The 20,660-nt window shown below is 36.2% G+C and overlaps 1 long non-coding RNA gene across 2 annotated transcripts in view; it reads right to left on the reverse strand.

The window, feature by feature from the left end:
* Positions 1–17,794, reverse strand: part of LINC02484 (long intergenic non-protein coding RNA 2484) — a 148,337-nt gene extending 130,543 nt beyond the window's left edge. For both annotated transcript variants that reach the window (NR_147183.1, NR_147184.1), the window contains exons 1-2: positions 17,670–17,794; positions 7,134–7,273 (exon numbers count right to left, since the gene is read on the reverse strand). This is a non-coding gene — a long non-coding RNA (long intergenic non-protein coding RNA 2484). The remainder of the gene's footprint in view (positions 1–7,133; positions 7,274–17,669) is intronic.
* Positions 17,795–20,660: the final 2,866 nt, after the last annotated feature.

Consider the following 20,660-nt stretch of genomic DNA (forward strand, 5'->3'; position numbering starts at 1 on the left):
TTCTCTGCGTCCTTGAAATGCAGATCTTTATAAAAGCCTCTTGTCAGATTTACCACACAGGACTGTCTCACTAGGACCTGGGAGCCATCCCTTTGATATATAATCATCATCAAGGAAGACAGCACCTCTACCTCCCAGCCTCTGTGGTAGGGTAGGAATCTGACTTCAATGGGTGACATATTCTAAGTTGTAAAACTATGTCTAGTTATGAAAATATCAGAAAGTTTACTTTTCATTTGGGTAACACCAATTAACAACCATAAATGGCCTATGTCCACCCCTTTCCACACTGCATTTCAATAAATTAAAATAAAGTCTTCCTTGCCTGTTTAACTTTATCCTGTATAATTTTTGCTTTGAGGTCTAATGATTTCTCATACATTAACCTAAATATAGTGACTATTAAGATATTTCATTACTGATTTAAGAATTCTTAATTGGAACCATTTATTAAATTAGCAAAGAAATATGAAAACAACATTTTCCATAGAATTTTTTATTTTTTTAGTGTTGTTACATTATTTTGTATTTGATAAAATCAGGTCACCTTGTACCACTTAAACAAATATAAACATTTTTATAATAATTTATATCAAACTAATATTTTTATATTTCTAAATCATTCCTATTTATACACATGATAAAATACAATGAAGTTTGTGTGCCAATTAAATAATATTCCAGACATTTTCCTAAGCACCATCTGTTCTCCCTTTTAAATACTCAAATGTTCAGCTTAATAGAGTATGTCCTGAATCTTCCTGTTCCATATTTGCCATATTATATTGCATTATTTTTTCCACATTATTAATCTGAAATGATGATCATCATTACTTTCTTATGTGCTATAATTTTATAAATATATCCGGCTATTTTACATCTGATGGTTCAGGCTGAATTTATAATGACCATGAATTATCTCTCTGAGTGTCATTTTAAGGTGTCCATGTGCTTTTATAATGTTTTCTAAAGTAAAAATTGAAGAAAACAGTCGCATATTTTACATAGCTCTTGTTGGTGTTTTCTTATTTGTGAAAGTGTATAACTTTTATTGTTCTTATTTTTTAAAAAGAGTGTTCATTTTTAAATAAGATAGAACAATGTGATGATTCCTGGACTCTTCAATAAGCACCTAGAGAGTAATAGGAGCTTTTTATAACATTCAAGAGAAATTATAATTGTATCAGTCATCTTGGCATATCCTTAATGATTTGCCACCAGAATGTTTTAAGGATGGTCCTGACTTTTAATTCAAAATAGTAAGATTTAAATGTTACATTTTAAAGCTTTAAGGATAAGAATAAAAGATAATTCAATTGAATTTGATTTTTAGGTTAAAGATACAGAAGCACTGAGAAGTTAAGTTGCCCAAAATGACATTGCTAGAAGATGGCAAGCCCAGGCATAAGTCTGGGTTGCTATGCACCAAGCTGCAAGCTTTTAATCAGTAGGCTAAACTGCCTTCTAAGTAAATTACTTGGAAGAAATGAATATGCTGTTTGCTTCTTTGCTCCCTAAAGCATTATCTGGCACACCCTCATGATTCAAGGCCCAAGTTACTCTATTCTTTTGATCCTTTCCACTACAAAATTCATTGATCTTAGAAACAGCTTGTGTGATAGACAAAGCTATAACTAAATGTGAAATGTCATTATTTGGCAATCTGAAATCAAAATTAGATATTCCTATTTAAATTTCAAAATCTGTATACACACACAGGTGACTGTATCCTAGATTTTGAAGTAATACACTTTTTATATTTTGAACACTGTTTTTCTCTATTCCCAGTTTCCCCTTAATTTTACATTGCTTGATGCGCTTTCTACAGTCCTTTCACCCTGTCTCAACATAGAGTGGAGGGTAAGCATCCCCCAGAGCTAGCTGTATTCCCATTCTCCAAATTAGCTGATTATGGGCTGAGATAGATGCCATTCTCTCGGAGGTGTGGAACTTCTTCATCTAAAATGACCAGTCTCTACAGACCAATTAAGCAAAAGAATGCTGAGCCGGCTTCCGACAGGTAAAGCTCTCAAAACACACAGCAACTGTCAGGCTATGAACCTCTAAGCAATTTCTGTGAGAGAATTTTCTGAAAGGTTGAGCTAATGGGTTTGAGTACAGCTGTGCACAATGTTTTGCAGAGCCAGCAAAACTAGGGAAATGTAAGTTTTTGCCAGTTTGCTAGAACAGTGGTTCTCTGCTTTCATAAACAAGGTCCTGTAGATATGCAAGGGATTCCTTCACTACTAAAGACTGCTCTTCATTTGGAGTAAGCACCAATTTTGAACTCAGACCACCCTGTGGCCTTCATCTGCTTAAACATAAAAAAAAGACAAAGTCAAGTTTTATTGAGTAGATTTGGCTACACTTGTACTTTCATCTGTTCCCTGAGCTTTTATGTTCTTTCCAGGGGAATTTCTCAGCAGGCTTTTCTGCATAATGATATCTGAAATGCTGTCACCACTAATCGATCTCAAACTTGTTTGAAGGGGTATCATATATTACTGAGGAATCAAACTGCATACATTTTCCTTATTTAACATGAACTTTATTATAATAAGGGAAAGTGGAAAAAACTGAGGCTTCGGAATCCAAAGGTTTGGATTAGAACTCTGGGTTTAATCACCTAATAGTTGTGTGTTCCTGGGTAAGTTAGTTAGCCCCTTCCTATTAGCTTTATCATTGTTAATTCATCTCACATATTATGGTGATTAAGTCTGCTCATGTATCTGAAATGTGTCCAGGGGGTGCCTGGTACATTGTGTGTGCTTGCTGAGTGAATCTTCCTTACCTATACTCTAGATATTTTTAAAGAACAAAATTGGTCCGGAATTTTTTATTTTTTAAATTTCATTTATTCATTCATTCATTCATTCATCCAGTCATTCATTTAGTAAGAGATAGAGTCTCACTATGTTGCCCAGGCAGGAGTGTAGTCTATTTATAGGTGTGGTCATAGCACACTATATCCTTGAACTCCTGGACTCAAGGGATCCTCCCACTTCAGCCTCCCATGTACCTGGGACTATAGGAACATGTCATTGTGCCCAGCTAGTCTTGAAGTTTCTTTAAAGACTACTACATTTTTAGTGGATGACACCATTGAGGTTTCCAACCTTATTTCTATGTTTATCAACATTATGATTGTGTTTCACTCAAGACAAGCAAAGAGTGGTGTAGTGGACCAATGTGCTCCATGACCTATTTTTGCATAGTCCATGAGCTAATGATGATTTTTACAATTTTAATTGCTAAAGAAAGAGAATATTTTGTGACACATGAAAATTATATGAAATCAATATTTGAGTGCCGTTTAAAACATACTCACACACTTAAGTTTTGTGCGTGCCTGCTTTAGTGCAGCAATGGCCCAGTTGAGTAGTTGCCAACAGAAACCATAGAGTCTACAAAGTCATATACTTTATACTATCTGGCTCTTTACTGAAAAAATTTACAGATCCATGATCCAGAATATTAGATATGGTCTGATCAACATATTAAGAATGATTTCACTGATCATATCACTGCTCAAAAATGTCAATCCATCTATTATGTTTAATATAGAATTAAACAAAAGGTGAGCACTGACTGGTATTATTATTTCTTATTTGTTTTTGTTTTTTGTGTGTGTGTTTTCTGGGATGTAAGTCACACAGATGGCAAATGAAATTCAAACAAGCACTTTATTCCAAAGAACATATCCTGGAGTGAGGAGGCTCTAAAGCTCTAGTTATTCTAGAAAATTTTCATGTAACTTGTGTAAATCACTTTGCTGACTAGGAACTCATTTTTTTTTCTATTTATGGTCAAATAACCACTAGCCTTATATTAAAATCTAAAATTCTAGAATTTAAATTCAGTAGGTTTTTAATTTTCCTTACCAAAGCTTCCCTCATCATCTTAAACTTAGTATTTTATTCAATGTCAAAATTTAAAAAAAAGTTGCTAAATATTAAGATATACATATTTTTAAAACTTAGTCTTCAACTATTTAAAAGTAGTCTTTATGATTTTTAAATTTAGTTGACCAGAATTTTCTTTGAAAAGTGATAGAAATACAGTGAATTAATTTTTTGACACTGTGGCCTCCTGGCCTAGAAAATAGTAAATACAAAGCATAGCTTTTTTTCTTTATACTTCATGGCTTCCTTTCATATTCTAAATATTTCTAAAGTTACTATGCTTTATTGAAAGCTGTCTGAGTCTAGTGTTTTTGTTTCCATAATATAATTGGAGAAATGTTGAGAAAAACAAGGAGAAAACTGGTACACATTACATTTCTTTGTGTCCTTGTAGACATTTTTTGTCCTTTTCAATTTTTGATCCCAAAATAAATTTGTCCATGTACATACACATTTGAGTGAAAAGACTGATGAAGGACAAAAGGATTTGAATCCAAAGAAACAGGACAGTGCAATAAGTTGTGAAAAATTAGGGCAGTATGGGAGGCAGGAAAAAATTAGGGCACTGCAATTCAGAGATAGGGAGAAGTAGAGGGCAAGGAATAGCATACTATGACAGGTGAAGAATGAGCTGGGTCTACACATTATAAAGAGGGAAGATGGAGCACATGGATAGGGAGGAATAATCATATGAACATCTGCTTACTCAAAATAAGTTGTCAATACCCCAAAGGTGAGATATAAAACAAAACAAGAAAAACGGCAGTGGAAGGGTTCCAGATTGCTTATGAAAAATTTAAGAGATGTTAGGAAGATGAAATAAATTTATCTTTTCCTGAAAAAATAGACCTAGTTTGTCTTTGGGTGCTTCCTTCTTCGTTATGTTCCCAAATCTTAATTTACTTTGTAAAATTATAATAGATTTTTAAAAAAACATAACCTATTATACACACTGGATTTTATTTTGTAACTACCATAGTTTTAGTCTAAATAAGTACTATTCAAGGCCGGGTGTGTTGGCTCATGCCTGTAATCCCAGCACTTTGCGAGGCCGAGGTGGGCAGATCATGAGTTCAGGAGATCGAGAGCATCCTGGCTAACACGGTGAAACCCCGTCTCTACTTAAAAAAAAAAAAAAAAAATTAGCCAGTCACTGTAGTCCCAGCTACTTGGCAGGCTGAGGCAGGAGAATGGTGTGAACCTGGGAGGCGGAGCTTGCAGTGAGCCAAGATCGCACCACTGCACTCCAGCCTGGGCGACAGAGCGAGACTCCGTCTCAAAAATAATAAATAAATAAATAAATAAATAAAAACCAAATAAATAAATAAATACTAATCAAAAAGAAGTTCACATAATCCCATAAAGTAATCCCTGATTACTTTAAAACCTACAAAACAAATAGTGATATACAGCTACATGATTAAATATTCAAATATTTACAAAATAATAATGCAAACATTTACATATATGAATGTAAAATTTAAGGCCCCTAATTAAAGTTTGAATTGTCACAACTCATTTTTACTTTATTTTCCTAAAATTCATATTTCAAAATATGTTGACAAAATTAAACAAGTAAACAACAATCAACTCTCCGCCACAAAACAAGAACAACAACTACTGCTACTACAGAAAGAGGGGCTGAGTGCACTAGGTAATGTAGGATTTTTCCTAACAGTAATATCCATATAAATACATAAGCACTACATGAGAAACAGCAGTTTGAGGGAATACACATTTTCTCAGTGTGAGACAAATATCATTTACCAAATCCCAACCGACTTCATAGCTATTGAGAAGAAAACCAATAGAAACCAGCAAATGGTATCCATTATCATGACGTGTTATAGCACAGTGTGCTCTGAATGTTGTTATTTACTTAGAATAATTTGTGCTCACATTCCTGTGAGCTACTGGATAATAACAGAAAGGTACTTCTTTTTTCTTACTACTTTAGAACACACAAAGTCTTTACCACTTCTGGAGGAATATTGATCCATAGTTTAAATGTGCAATCTGGCTCCAGATGTTTATACTCAATTACTCATGTGTACAGAGGTGCATTTTTTAAAAGAACAAATGACAATCACAAGGATATTATCCAACTAAGATCAAAGAATAAGTTGTTACGATATAGAAAAAATAAGGGAAATCACAAGGAGATTTCATTATGTTTCTTGTGGAAATGGAAATTCGCTCCTTTTTTGTTGTTCGAGGGTAAGCCCAGAGATAAATTCACTGGTTTTGTATCCTGAGGTGAATCTATCAAATATATGCTGTAGGTAGTAAAAGTAGGTTTGTTTTCAAAATTTCTTAACTACTATTTGTGTCCTTGTTTAGTGTAAGCCTTCCTATCCATCTCTGCCATGATGCTTTATTATTTTTTGTCAGAACCGCTCTTTCTGTATCCACTCATTTGACACAATTTATTCTCAAAATCTAATCTTAATTGCTTGTCAGGGACAAAAATCCCAAGAGAGTACCAACATTCCATAACAGTTTGTAAGCATTGGAGAATTCGAGTGTTTGTTCTGTTACTGAAAACTCCCCATAGAATTGGAAGTTAAATTTCTTGGAGGAAAATGCAGGTGACTTTATCATGAATCACTAAATTTATGCACTTCATTACAGAGAAAACAAGGATATTATTAAAAATGTAGTTATTATTATTAAAATTATTAATTTTCTCTAGAACTTGAATTAGTAGCATTTTTAAAAATCAGCTGTTCTATTTACTATTTCTGATCAAGTCATTTTATATTATAAATACAGACAATGTATAAATTTCCTCTTTAAAAGACCATAATATGTCAAAATAATAAATAAGCACCTAGATTTCATTGGTGGCCAAATTTTATGCAATCTCTCTCAAGAGTATTTTTGTCTTTCTATCCCAGGAACCCAGCTATATTTTAAACCAAGTACCAAAGCCACCTACACAAACCACCTGCTCATAACCAGGTCCCCAGGCTCAGCTCTCTCCTCCTTTTCTGGCCAAGCAGCTATCTTATATGTCTTGCTACGATCAATAAACATATCTGTTGTCATTATCAAGAACACATATTCCTTCTTGGCCCTAAACTAGATATCAAAGAATAGATTATGCAAAACAGTGATATTCTTGAGTCTATTCACAGTTCAGAATCATCACTTTAGTCAGTCAAGACTTTCCCTTCTCCTCTCAGGATCATGGACATACTGACACAGCTGTTCAAGAAACACTATCCTTACCTTTGCTGTCTGATCCTTTTATGATTTATGGTTTGGGATTTCAGCTCTGATGTCGTTCATTAATTCCTTTATTCTAGTCACTTGTTCAGTTAAGAAAACCATTTCCAGTGTCCTCTATGTACCAAACACTATCATGGTTCCTGAAACATAACAATAATAGCCAAATTTATTGAGTGCTTACTATATGAACTAAAAACTTGACTCTTATGTGTCATGATATACCTTGGAAAATCATACTATGTATCTGTTAATATTATGTCCATTTTAAAATAAATCAAATTGAGGCTTAAGGAAGTTAAAAAACTTAAGCAAGACTATACAGTAGAATTAGAATCAAGATACTAGAACCCCAGAGACCACATTCTTAACCCTAAAATAAATAAATAAATGCAAATAATCATAAAAAATGAATCTTCTGGTCTAGGAATTCTTATAATTTAGTGGTAGAAGTCAATAATCGTTAATTGCACTATAATTAGGCTAGCATAGACCTATGCACATGCTGTTGTGGTCAGATATAAAATATGTGATAGCATATTTAGAGGAAAAATATTTTTAGATTGGTCACATCACTTCATTGTCTTGTTGCTTCCAGTATCTTTGAATAGATTATAGATTATTATGCAAGATAATACAAGAAAAAGTCCAATTTATCCATTAAGTTATTTATGTCCGTAGCATGATATTTGTTTTTTCGTCTTTTATAACTATCTGTGCTAATGGCTGGTGCATTCCACTATCCATTCACTTCTCAATTTTCTTTTTGTAACAAAGTAGAAGAATTTAATGTTCTTTATTAATTAGCATTTATTAAATAAAATTACTTCTTCCAGCTTTGACTTAAAAATTTTAATTATTGTAAAATCAAGAAATAATTCCCATTAACTTACAACATGTTCTATATCTGCAATCTATATTTTTAGAAGCTTCTCTTGACCTCCTATCTGCCTTCAGGTACTGCCCTATTTTTTGTCACTTTTCACATGAAAACTCAAATAGTTGGCTGTAATCCATTTCAAGTTTCTGAATTTCTTTTCTTTGCTGAACTTGTGCCCCTGGAACTCCACTGAAGCTGTTCATGTATATATCACCACTGACCTCCTATTACAAAGAACAAAAGCCCTCTGTCTCTTCTCATCTTACATGCTCTCTCAGAATCACTCAGAAAAATTGAACAGCACCTCCTTCTTTAAACAGTAAATTCCCTTGACTTATGTGATATTATGGATTCCTGATTTTCTTCCTGCTTTATTGATGTGTACTTCTGAGTTCCATTTTATGAATCCTTCCCTTTTTTTCAACTTGTAAATATAGTGTATTTCAGGGATGTATTGTTCTTATGTTTCTTTTTTGTAACTTTGTACTTAATACACTATATCTCATGGTAATCTCATCCTGGCTGATACTTCTTGGGGATTGGTTCTAGGACTTCCCAGGGATGCCAAAATCTGCAAAGGCTCAAGTCTCTTATATAAAGTAGTGTAGTATTTGCATATAAATACAATGCACATCTTCCTATATTCTTTAAATAATCTTTAGATTACTTATATTACCAATGAAATGTAAATGCTATGTAAATAGTTGTTATATAGTGTTGTTTAGAAAATAATGACAGGAAGAAAGTCTGTACACGTTCAGCCCAGATGGATTTTAAGATATTTTCAATCTGCTGTTGGTTGAATCCATAGATGTAAAACCCGGGGATATAAAGGGCTCACTGTATACCTATCTACATACCCATGATTCATAGATTGGTCTTCAGCCTTAAATTTTACCCTGAATTTCAAACTCATGTATGCTTATACTTGTTTCATTCATTCATTCATTATTCATTCATTTGATCATTATTTTGGCAAATATTCAAAATATTACAATTCAAACACTTTTGTGGGTATTTAGTTTTGAATAAGCCAGGCAAGGTCTCCACACACAGTTCCCTTTTTCTGAAATATTTCTGAAAAAATGAGTCAATATATGTGTTTTTGTGTTTGTATGTATGTGTATATATATGTATATGTGTGTGTATATATGTATGTATACATTTATATGGATATTTTGATGGTTATATGAAACTTCAGGCAATATAAAATACCAGACTCTCTGAAGGGCACTTTTGATGTAATGTGGCTATATTCTTCTTTTAGAAAATGTTTAAAATACTGCAACTAGAGAAAGACATCATCAAGATGACTGACTAGAGATGCCCAGCACTCACCTATTCCACAAAGAGGTACTAAAACAGGAAGTAGATAATAACATGTGGAGTAGTGTTCTAAGGGAAAACACTGGAATTTAGCAAGAAAGTGAAAATGATTTTCTGAGACACAAAAACTTAAAAATGGCAGCAAATAGAGGGAGACAAAGCAGCCAGCTGGGATTGACTCTGAGAGAAGAAAAACATTCCATTGTGGAGATAATGCAGCAGGAGATCCCTAGCAATGCACATTCCCTGCAGTCTTAGGTATGGAAGATCCCCTCAGTCCTCATAGTAGAGAACTCCCTGGAACTCACGTGACTCCATTAGTCCAGAGAGGGAATTCACACTGTAACCTCCCCATATCTAGGACCCATGCTGCTGCAGCACAGTGCTATTTTGAGAGTAGACTCCCACTAGACTACTTTCTGCCCTCAAAACCAAGAGCCCCTGCATCACCACATTCCTAGAGCCCCGCCAGAATCCCCTCACATCCACTCAGAGAGCTGCAGAGTCACAGTGCCAGCTGAACCCAGCAATGCAGCCACATTCCTGGTACATACAATACACTACATCCTGGGGAACAGGCAGTCCAGCACATGAGGGAAGCTGCTCCCAGGATATAAGGAACCAAAGTAACCACTTCCCACAACCTGCAAGCCACATGCTGGGACCCGGTGCTGGTAATAGCAACCTCATGCCCTCCAGTGGTAGGGTCATTACATGCCCATGACTGTTGCCCAGGAACATGAGGATCAGCCTGCACAGGTTACCACTGCTGGCAGCAACTGTGCATGTGCCCATACCTGCTGTCATTGGCAACCACATGCATGCACACCACTGCCACCACTGATGCCCACATGTGCCACCCAGGGGAGCAAGAGCTAGCCTACACAGGGACACTGCTGCCAGTGACAGTGCCCACATATGCCACCCAGAAGCCTGAGGACCTCTCTGTAAGGCTTTTTCCATCCCCCAAAATTCATACCACACCTTCCAAAAACAATAACAGCCTAAGCCAATAACGAACTTGCAGATACCACTGAGAGATTACAGCAGAATAAATCATATAAAGAATCCATTACTGTGTCCACCCAGAACCAAAGCCAAAGCACGACTCAATCAACACTATAGCTACATCTACAGAAAAATGTCTTACCCTCTATTAGTCCATTCTCACACTGCTAATAAAGACATACCAAAGACTGGGTAATTTATAAAGGAAAGAGATTTAATTGAGTCACATTTCTGCAGGGCTAATGAGGCCTCAGGAAACTTACAATCATGGTGGAAAGAAATGCAAACACGTCCATCTTTACATGGCAACAGCTAGAAGTACTGAGCAAAAAAAAAAGGAAAAGCCCCTTACAAAAATCATCACTTCTCATGAGAAATCACTATCACAAGAAAAGCAAGAGGGTAACTGCCATCATGATTCAATTACCACCCACTGGGTCCCTCCCACGACACATGGGGAACTACAGCTGAAGAGATTTGTTGGGGACACAGCAAAACCATATCCAATTCCAACCTGGCCCCTCCCAAATCCCATGTCTTCACATTTCAAAACACAATCATGCCCTTCCAACAGTCCCCCAAAGTCTTAACTCATTCCAGTATTAACTCAAAAGTTCAAGTCCAAAGTCTCATCTGAGACAAGGCAAGTCCCTTCTGCCTATAAGCCTGTAAAAGCAAAAGCAAGTTAATTACTTCCTGGATACAATGGGGATACAGGCATAGGTAAATACACCCATTCCAAGTGAGAGAAATTGGCCAAAACAAAGGGGCTACAGGCCCTATGCAAGTCCAAAATCCAACAGGGCAGTCATTAAACCTTAGAATTCCAGAATGATCTCCTCTGATTACATGTCTCACATCCAGGCCTTGCTGATACAAGAGGTGGGCTCCCACATTGGTCAGCTTCACCCCTGTAGCTTTGCAGCATACACCCCAACTCCTGGCTGCCTTTACAGGCTGGCATTGAGTGGAGTGTCTGCAGCTTTTTTAGGGGCACAGTGCAGGCTATCAGTCCATCTAACATTCTAGGGTCTGGAGGATGGTGGCCCTCTTCTCACAGCTCCACTAGGCAGTGTCCCAGTGGGGACTTTGTGTGGGGGCTCCAACCCCACATTTCCTTTCTGCACTGCCCTAGCAGAGGTTCTCTATGAGAGTTCCACCCCTGCAGCAAACTTCTGTCTGGACATTCAGGCTTTTTCATACAGCCTCTGAAATCTAGGTGAAAGTTCCCAAACCTTAATTCTTGACTTCTGTGCACCTGCAGGCCCAACACCACATGTAAGCTGCCAGGGCTTGAGGCTTGCACCCTCAATAGCAATGACCTGAGCTCTACATTTGCCTCTTTTAGCCATGGCTGAAGCTGAAGTAGCTGGAATGCAGGGCACCATGTCCCAAGGCTGCTATACAGCAAGGGGCCCTGGGCCTGACCCAAGAAACCAATTTTCCCTCCTAGGCCTAAAGGCCTGTGATGGGAGGGACTGCCCCTGAAGGTCTCTGACATGCCCTGGAGACATTTCCTCATTGTCTTATTAATTAACATTCGGCTCCTTGTTACTTATGTAAATTTCTGCAGCTGACTTGAATTTCTCCTCAGAAAATGAAGTTTTCTTTTCTATCACATTATCAGGCTGCAAATTTTCCAAATGTTATGCTTTGTTTTCTCTTGAGTGCTTCACTGCTTAAAACTTTCTTCCCCCATACCCTAAATCATCTCTCTCAGGTTTAAAGTACCACAAACCTCTAGGGCAGGTACAAAATGCCATCAGTCTCTGTGCATAGCAAGAGTGACCTTTACTCCATAGTTCCCAACAAGTTCCTCATCTCCATCTGAGACCACCTCAGCCTGGACCTTATTGTCCATATCACTACGAGCATTTTGGTCAAAACCCTTCAACAAATCTGTAGGAGGTTCCAAACTTTCCCACATCTTCCTGCCTTCTGAGTCCACCAAGTCTCTAGGAAGTTCCAAATTTTCCCACATTTTTCTATGTTCTTCTGAGCCCTCCCAATTCTTCCAACCTCTGCTTGCTACCCAGTTCCAAAGTAGCTCCCACATTTTCAGGTACCTTTTTCAGTAGTGCCCCACTACCCAGTACCAATTTACTCTATTTGTCCATTCTCATGCTGCTAATAAAGACATACCTGAGAGTGGGTAATTTATAAAGAAAAGAGGTTTAATTAACTCCAGTTCCACAGGGCTGGGGAGGCCTCAGAAAACTTAAGATCATGGAGAAAGAGATAACAAACATATCCTTCTTCACATGGTGGCAGGAAGGAGAAGTGTCAAGGAAAAGGGGAACCAGCCCCTTATGAAACCATCAGCTCTCATGAGAACTTGCTATCACAAAAACAGCATGAGGGTAACTGCCCCTGTGATTAAATTACCTCTCACGAACTCCCTCCCATGACATGTGGGAATTATGTGAACTAAAATTTAAGATGACATTTGGGTGGGAACACAGCCAAACCATACTATACCTTATGAAAGCTAATCCATAAAATTAAAACTATCAACCATTATATCAGATGCATGGATATAACCGTATGGACTCAAACTTCATTAAAAACAGGAAGACATGAAAGCTGTAAAGTAATGCAAAAATTATCTACTAATATACCTTGAAGAAAGGAAATTTATAAAATGCTTGAAAGGGAATACAAAATAAAGATCTTAATGAAACTCAGATAGCAGAGAATATAGCCAGACAATGCAAAGAAATCAGGAAACCAATTCATAACCTAAATGAGACATTCAATAAAGAGACAGATATCATATAGAAAAGCCAAATGACAATCCTGGAAGTGATGAATTCAATAAATCAAATAAAAATGCACTTGAGAGTTTCAGTAGACTAGACCAAACAAAGCAAAAAAAAAAAAAATCTGTTGAGAACAGGTCTTATGATATAACACAGTCAGATCAGTAAAAAAGAAAGGATAAGGGAATAAAAAGAATACAGAAATTCTACATGACATATGCGACACCATTAAGTGCAAAAATGTTTACTTTTTTTAATGTTCGAGAATGTGAAGAGATGAGAAAATACATAGAAAATCTATTTAATGAAATAATAGCTAAGAACTTAAGTCCTGAGAGAGAAATAGAGATCCAGATACAGATAGCTCAAATAAATCCAAAAATTTCAACCCAAATGGTCATCTTTCAGGCATATTGAAGTCAAACTGCCAAACCTCAAATACACAAAGAAAATTTTCTAAAAATAGCAAAGTGTTAAGTCACATATAAGAAAATGCATATCAGACTAACATCAGATTTCTCAGCAGAAACTTTATAAACCAGAAGACAATGGGCTGATATATTCATCATCCTGGGGGTGGGGAGGGGGGTTAGGAAACACCTGTCAGCCAAAAATACCATGTGCAGAAAGCTATGCTTCATAAGAGAAAAAAAGTCTTTCTGGTACAAGCAAAAATGGAGAGAACTCATTGCCACTAGGCTAGCTCTAAAAGAGCCGCCACGTCTGGTAGCAAAAGGATGATATCTACTATAATGAAAACACACAAAAATATAAAATTCACTGGTAAAGCAGATACACAAATGAGAAAAAGAAAGGACTCAAACACTATTAACTTCAGAGATAAATCAAACTGAAAAATTAGATATAAAGAGATGAATAAAGAAACAAAGGATATACAAGGAAAGAGAGAGAAAGCATTAGAGTAAATGGCTAATGCATGTGGGGCTTAATACCTAGGTAACAGGTTGATAGGTGTGGAAAACCATGATGGGAGAAGTTTACCTATGTAACAAACCTGCACATCCTGCCCATGTACCCTGGGACTAAAAATAAAATTAAATAAAAAAAAGTAGAATGAAAGAAAAAGAAAGAAAGAAGGAAAGAAGAAAGGAAGGGAGGGAGGGAGGGAGGAACGGAAGGAAGGAAGGAAGGAAGGAAAGAAGGAAGGAAGGAGGGAAGGAAGGAGAGAAGGAAAGAGAAAGAAAGAGAAAGCAAGAAAAAAGAAAAAGTGGGAGGGAGGAAGGAAGGATGGAAGGAAGGATGGACAGATGGAAGGAAGGAAGGAAGGAAGGAGAACTAACAATATGACAGGCATAAGTCCCACCTATCAATAACAACGTTGAGTAAAAATGGTTTAAATTCTCCAATTAAAAGATAGAGATTTACTGAATCAATTAAAAAACAAGACCCAACTATATTCTGCCTACAAGCCACTCACTTCATCTATAAAAACAATCATAGAGAGAAGAGATGGAACATGATACTTTATACAAATGTAAACTAAAAATGTATAAAAATAGCTATACTGACATCTGACAAAATAGACCTTAATTAAAAATGAAATATGAGAGCTTGCAGTGAGCCGAGATCCCGCCACTGCACTCCAGCCTGGGCGACAGAGCGAGACTCCGTCTCAAAAAAAAAAAAAAAAAAAAGAAATATGAGAGACAAAAAAGTTCATTATATAATCAGAAAGTAATGAACTCACCAAGAGGATATAACAATTACAAATATGTACGTACCCAACACCAGAGAATCTAGGCATAAAGCAAATATTATTAGGGCTAACAAGAAAGATCAAACCCAATAAACTTTTTTTTCAGACAGAGTCTTGCTCTGTTACCCAGACTGGGGTGCAGTGGTGTGTTATAGGCTCACTGCAACCTCCACCTCCCGGGTTCAAGTGATTCTCCTACCTCAGCTTCCTGAGAAGCTGGGATTACAGGCACCTGCCACCACTCCCAGCTATATTTTTTTCTTTTCTTTTTTTTTTATATTTTTAGTAGAGATAGGGTTTCACCATGTTGGCCAGGCTGGTCTTGAACTCCAGACCTCAGGTGATCTGCCCGCCTCGGTCTCCCAAAGTGCTGGGATTACAGGCGTAAGCCACTGTGCCCAGCCCCAATAAAATATTAATGGAAGAATTCAACATCCCACTTTTAGCATTGGACAGATCATCTCAATGGAAAATTAACAAAGAAACATAGAACTTAAACTGAACTATAGATCAAATAGGCCTAACAGATATTCACAGAACATGCCATCCAGCATCTACAGAATGCATATTCTTCTCATCAGTACATAGAACATTTTGCAGAAGAGACCATATGTTAGTCCACACAAATCTCAAAAATTCTAAAAAATCAAAATCATATCAAGTCTCTTTTCAGAACACTATGGAATAAAACAAGAAATCAGCAACAAGAGGAATTTTTAAACTCTACAAATACAGAGAAATAAAACAGCATGCTCCAAAGAAACCAGTGGGCCAATTAAGACATTAAGAAGAAAATTTAAAAAAACTTATTGACACAAATGAAAATAGAAATGCAGCATACCAAAACTGATGGAAAACAGGAACCACAAAAGACTCCAAAATGCTAAAGCAATCCTGAGTGAAAAGAACAAGCCTGAAGGCATTACACAACCTGGCTTCAAAATATACTACAAAGCTATATTAACCACAATAACATGGTATTGGTATAAAAACAGAAATAGACCAATTAAAAAGAACAGAGAACCTATAAATAAATTCACATATCATATTTATAGCCAACTTATTTTTGACAAAGTTTCCAGGAACATACATTTGGAAAAGGACAGTTTCTTCAATGCATGGTGCTGGGAAAATTGGATATCCATGTGTAAAAGAATGAAACTACACCCCTATCTCTCACCACGTACAAAAATCAATGTAAAATCGATTAAAGGCTTAAATTCAAGACCCAAAACTATTCAACAACTAGAATAAAACAGAGGAGAAATCCTTCAGAACATTGATATAGGAAAATATTTTATAGATAAGACTACAAAAGCACAGGCAAAAAAAAAAAAAAATAGACAAATAGGAATATATCAAACTAACAAGCATCTCTCCAGCAAAGGTAACAATCAACAGAATGCAAAGACAACCTGTAGAATGAGAACTATATTTTCAAAGTATTCGTCTGACAAGGGACTAATATTGGGAATATACAAGTGACTCAAGCAACTCAAGAGCAAATAATAATAACATTCCCATTAAAAATGGGCAAACATTCTGAATAGATATTTCTCAAAAGATGATATACAAATGGCCAATGAGTATATGAAAAAAAAAATGCCCAACATCTCTAATCATCAGAAAAATGCAAACCAAAACCACAATGGACTATCATGTTATCCCAGTTAGAATGACTATTATCAAGAAGACAAGGCTGGGCGCTGTGGCTCACACCTGTAATCCCAGCACTTTGGGAGGCAGAGGCAGGTGGATCACCTGAGGTCAGGAGTTCGAGACCAGCCTGACCAACATGGAGAAACCCTGTTTCTACTAAAAATACAAAATTAGCCAGACATGGTGGCACATGCCTATAATCCCAGCTATTCTGGAGGCTGAGGCAGGAGAATTGCTTGAACCCAGGAGGCAGAGGTTGCTGTGAGCCGAGATTGCACCATTACACTCCAGCCTGGGCAATAAAAGCAAAACTCCGTCCCCCCCAAAAAAAAAGACAAAAGTAACAAATGTTGCCAAGAATATGGGGAAAGGGGAGCTCTTATACACCGTTAGTGAAAAATAAAAATTATTTCAGCCATTATGAAAACGGTATGAGGTTTTCTCAAAAAACAACAAAAATAATTATTTGATCCAGCAATTTCACTACTGAGTATTCATCCAAAGACAAAAAAAAGTCAGTATATCAAAAACATATGTAGATATCTGCACCCATGGTTATTGCAGCATTTTTGCAATGGCCAAGATGTGGAATCAACTTAAATGTCCATCAACTGATGAATGGGTAAAGAACATGTGGTATATATACACAATAGAATACTATTCAGCCATATAAAAGAATAAAACTCTGTTATTTTCAGCAACATGGATGAGCTGAGAGGACATTATGTTAAGTGAAATAAATCAAGTAAAGAAAGATAAATACTACATGTTCTCACTTATATGTGAGAGCTAAGACAAATTGATTTCATGGAAGTAGAAAGTAAAATTATGGTTACTAGAGACTGAGAACTGTAGGGACATGGGAGAGGATAGGGAAAGGTTAATTAGGGATACAAAATTACAGCTATGGGAGGAATAAGTTCTACTGTTCTGCAGCACTGTAGGAAGAATATGATTAACAGTAATTTATGGCATATGCACAAATAGCAAGAAAAGAGGATTTTGAATGTTACAAAAAGAAATGATACAGGTTGGATGTGACAGATATACCAATTTCCCTGATTTGATCATTACACATTGCATACATTTATCAAAATAATTAATCTGTTCCACATAAATATGTACAATTATTTTGTGCCAAATATAAACAAAGAAGAATAAATGATAACAGCAGAATGCTTGGAAATTACCTGAATATTATTTTGCAGTTGTTCAAGCTGTTTGGACAAAGCCCCTGAGGAAGCTGAGAAGAATATGGTGTGCTTTTAATTTATTCTGTTTATTCTCACATTATTAAAGACTGAACAGTCTGTCAGGTTGTTTGCTAGATTTAACTTTCTAAATTCAATGTACCCATGTTTCTCATCACATGTAAATACCAGTTGGTTAAATATTGCCTAAGCCTGACAATGATTAAAGAAAGTTTTCAGCAGAAAATAAAGCATGAGAGTCGGTTGGAAAAAAAATACTACAAACAAAATAAAATTGGTGACTACATTGTTATAATACTCAAAAATACTTATTTCTGGTCTATATTATATCTGCTTCTTTGTGCAGCATAGAAGCTGTTGAATTGTAATTTTTCCAATAATTTGCTACAATACTCCACGACAAAGGAGGCCAAATCTTTCTATCTGTTCTTCTACATCTCCATTTGTAATCAATTCATACATTTATATTTACTCAAAGTGACAATAAAGCTGCCACTTTAATGGGCAAAATTAGTGACAAGGAAAGGGAACATTTATATTTCAGTTTTCTCTATAGGGTTAATACACAGAGTCTAAATCTGCTTGAAATTTATACCTTAGAGCAACTTTTTCTCAAAGCTTGATTGTACATTGCAATAATGGAGAAAACAAAATGATATTTTTGTCCAAACCCAGTTGAAAAAATCCTGATTTAATTAGTCTGAGAGTATGGCTCAGAATTTTAAAAAATAGATATTTTAAAATCTGTATAACTTTGAACATTCCCAAATGCTTTAATAGCAGCCACGTTTAGGAATCACCAATCAAGTATGGTTACTACATCAGTCAAGATCCTGATGAAAATAGGTGAAATATTTAAAGGGCTAATAGAAAAGCTCTTTTTTAAATAAAGTAGTGGGCAGTGTTCAGAGAATCAAAAAAGTCAGAATCAACGACATTAGGAAATTTTTACTTCCCCAGGTGTAAGTTAAAAGGAGTGAGTGGCATTAATAAAACTTGTCAAGCACTGTAGCCACGGAAAAGGGGCTTCTGAGGAGGAACCTTGGCCACATGTAAAAAGAAACAAACAAACAAAAATACCCAGCCACATCAAAAAGTAAGGCCCTGTGGAGAGGCAAGGCTTGGGCCCCTCTAATCTCTCCATAAGCCACATAAAACATTTAATAAATGTCCTTCAAATTAAACTAGCCCAAGACGATTCTATTTCATGCAACATGAAATTGTTTCAATACAGTAACTGAGTACTGTATTGGTCTGTTTACACACTACTATAAAGAAATACCCGAGACTGGGTAATTTATAAAGGAAAGAAGTTTAATTGACTCACAGTTCCATATGGATGAGGAGGCCTCAGGAAATTTAACAATCATGGCGGAAGATGAAGGGGAAGCAGACACCTTCTTCACAAGGCAGCGAGAGAGAGAGAGAGAGAGAGAGAGGGAGGGAAGGGGAAGAGCCTCTTATAAAACCATCAGGTCTCGTGAGAACTCACTCCTATCACAAGAAGAGCAAGGGGGAAATCCGTTCCCATGATCCAATCACCTCCCACCAGGTCCCTCCCTGGACACCTGGGGATTACAATTTAGATTAAAATTTCAGATAAGATTTGGGTAAGGACACAGCCAAACCATATCAAGTAGTCACAGGCAATGGAGTTTCAAAGAGATGCAAACGTGGAATTTGTTTTGTCTTATGTTGGACTCAAAGGCACATGAAGCTATGTCAGCAGCATAGGCAGGACCAACTGGCTAGTCCGAAGTAAGCAGTGGAGAATTCATCATTTACATTTTGACCTGTGGATTATTTGGAATAAAGCTGCTCTTGGAAGCAAGATTGGAAAACGGAGGGAGAATTTTAATAAATCATCATGATAATAATGAGCTAAAGGGTTGCCTATTTCTAACTGAACTGAAGTTAGAAGAAAGAATATGATAAATTCAGTGTTATAAAGGCTCAACTCAAGTGGGTAAAAATGATCAGGGAGCTTCAGGGCTGCAACCATCTCTCTTAGCTCTGAAGGCTGACACAACCACAGAAACAGGTGATCATATGAGTCACTGAATGACATATAGACAGAATTCATAATCATGCCAGAAATTATATGTGAAATTGCAAGCAATGACTAGAAAACCATGAGCATTCAGTAATTACAAGTGTTAATTTAGGTGAATTTAGATGTCGAAATACTTCTTGCAACCAAGCACAGTCCCTCTGTTACTATCTGAGAAGGCTACGGAGTCTCTCCTGCTTTGTCTGAATTAGAAGCTTTGCGAATGTGTAATTCTACCCATGAAACACTATTTGCCTCATGACTTTTATAACTATTACTTAGAATAAAGACCTCAAATGCAGCTCAGCTGCAGGGAAAGGGCTAAATACAATATTCAATCCAGGAGGAAATAGCTTAATATTGAAACAATGTCACAGTTTACAACTATATATCTGCCAGAATGTAATATCTTGTACTTGTTTTCATGAGCTGTAAAGTAAATAAGAAACACTTGATAGGTAAAGAACTAAGTGAAAGTACAAACCAAAGAGTTTAGGAGGTATTGAAGCTGGCTTTCACTTTGAAGACTCTTTGAAATCCCTTGTTAATTGTTAATCACGTTTCATAATCTCTTTGATTTTAAGAATAGAATATAAAATTCAAAGTTCACCTAAAACTGTGAGCTTAATAACTACCCCCCATTCAAACTTAGAAAACCAAAATTCTATAGGTTTAGTATAAAGAGAAATTATAAATATAGAAAATCTTTTGACTTTCTTCATAATTTTCCAGACTTCATGGAGTTTCTCTTGTCTCAAAATTTAGTGCTGAATGAGTGTGAAGTAAAGGTTCTATTGAAAAGCAATAGCCATAGCAAATCCAAATGTAGATTTCAGCCCAAAATTACAATACCTCTCTTAGTCAGTTTGGGCTGCTATAACAAAAATACCATAAACTGGGTGACTTAAACATCAAAAATT

Source organism: Homo sapiens, chromosome 4 (assembly GCF_000001405.40).
Source record: "Homo sapiens chromosome 4, GRCh38.p14 Primary Assembly".
NCBI classification, from domain to species: Eukaryota; Metazoa; Chordata; class Mammalia; order Primates; family Hominidae; genus Homo; species Homo sapiens.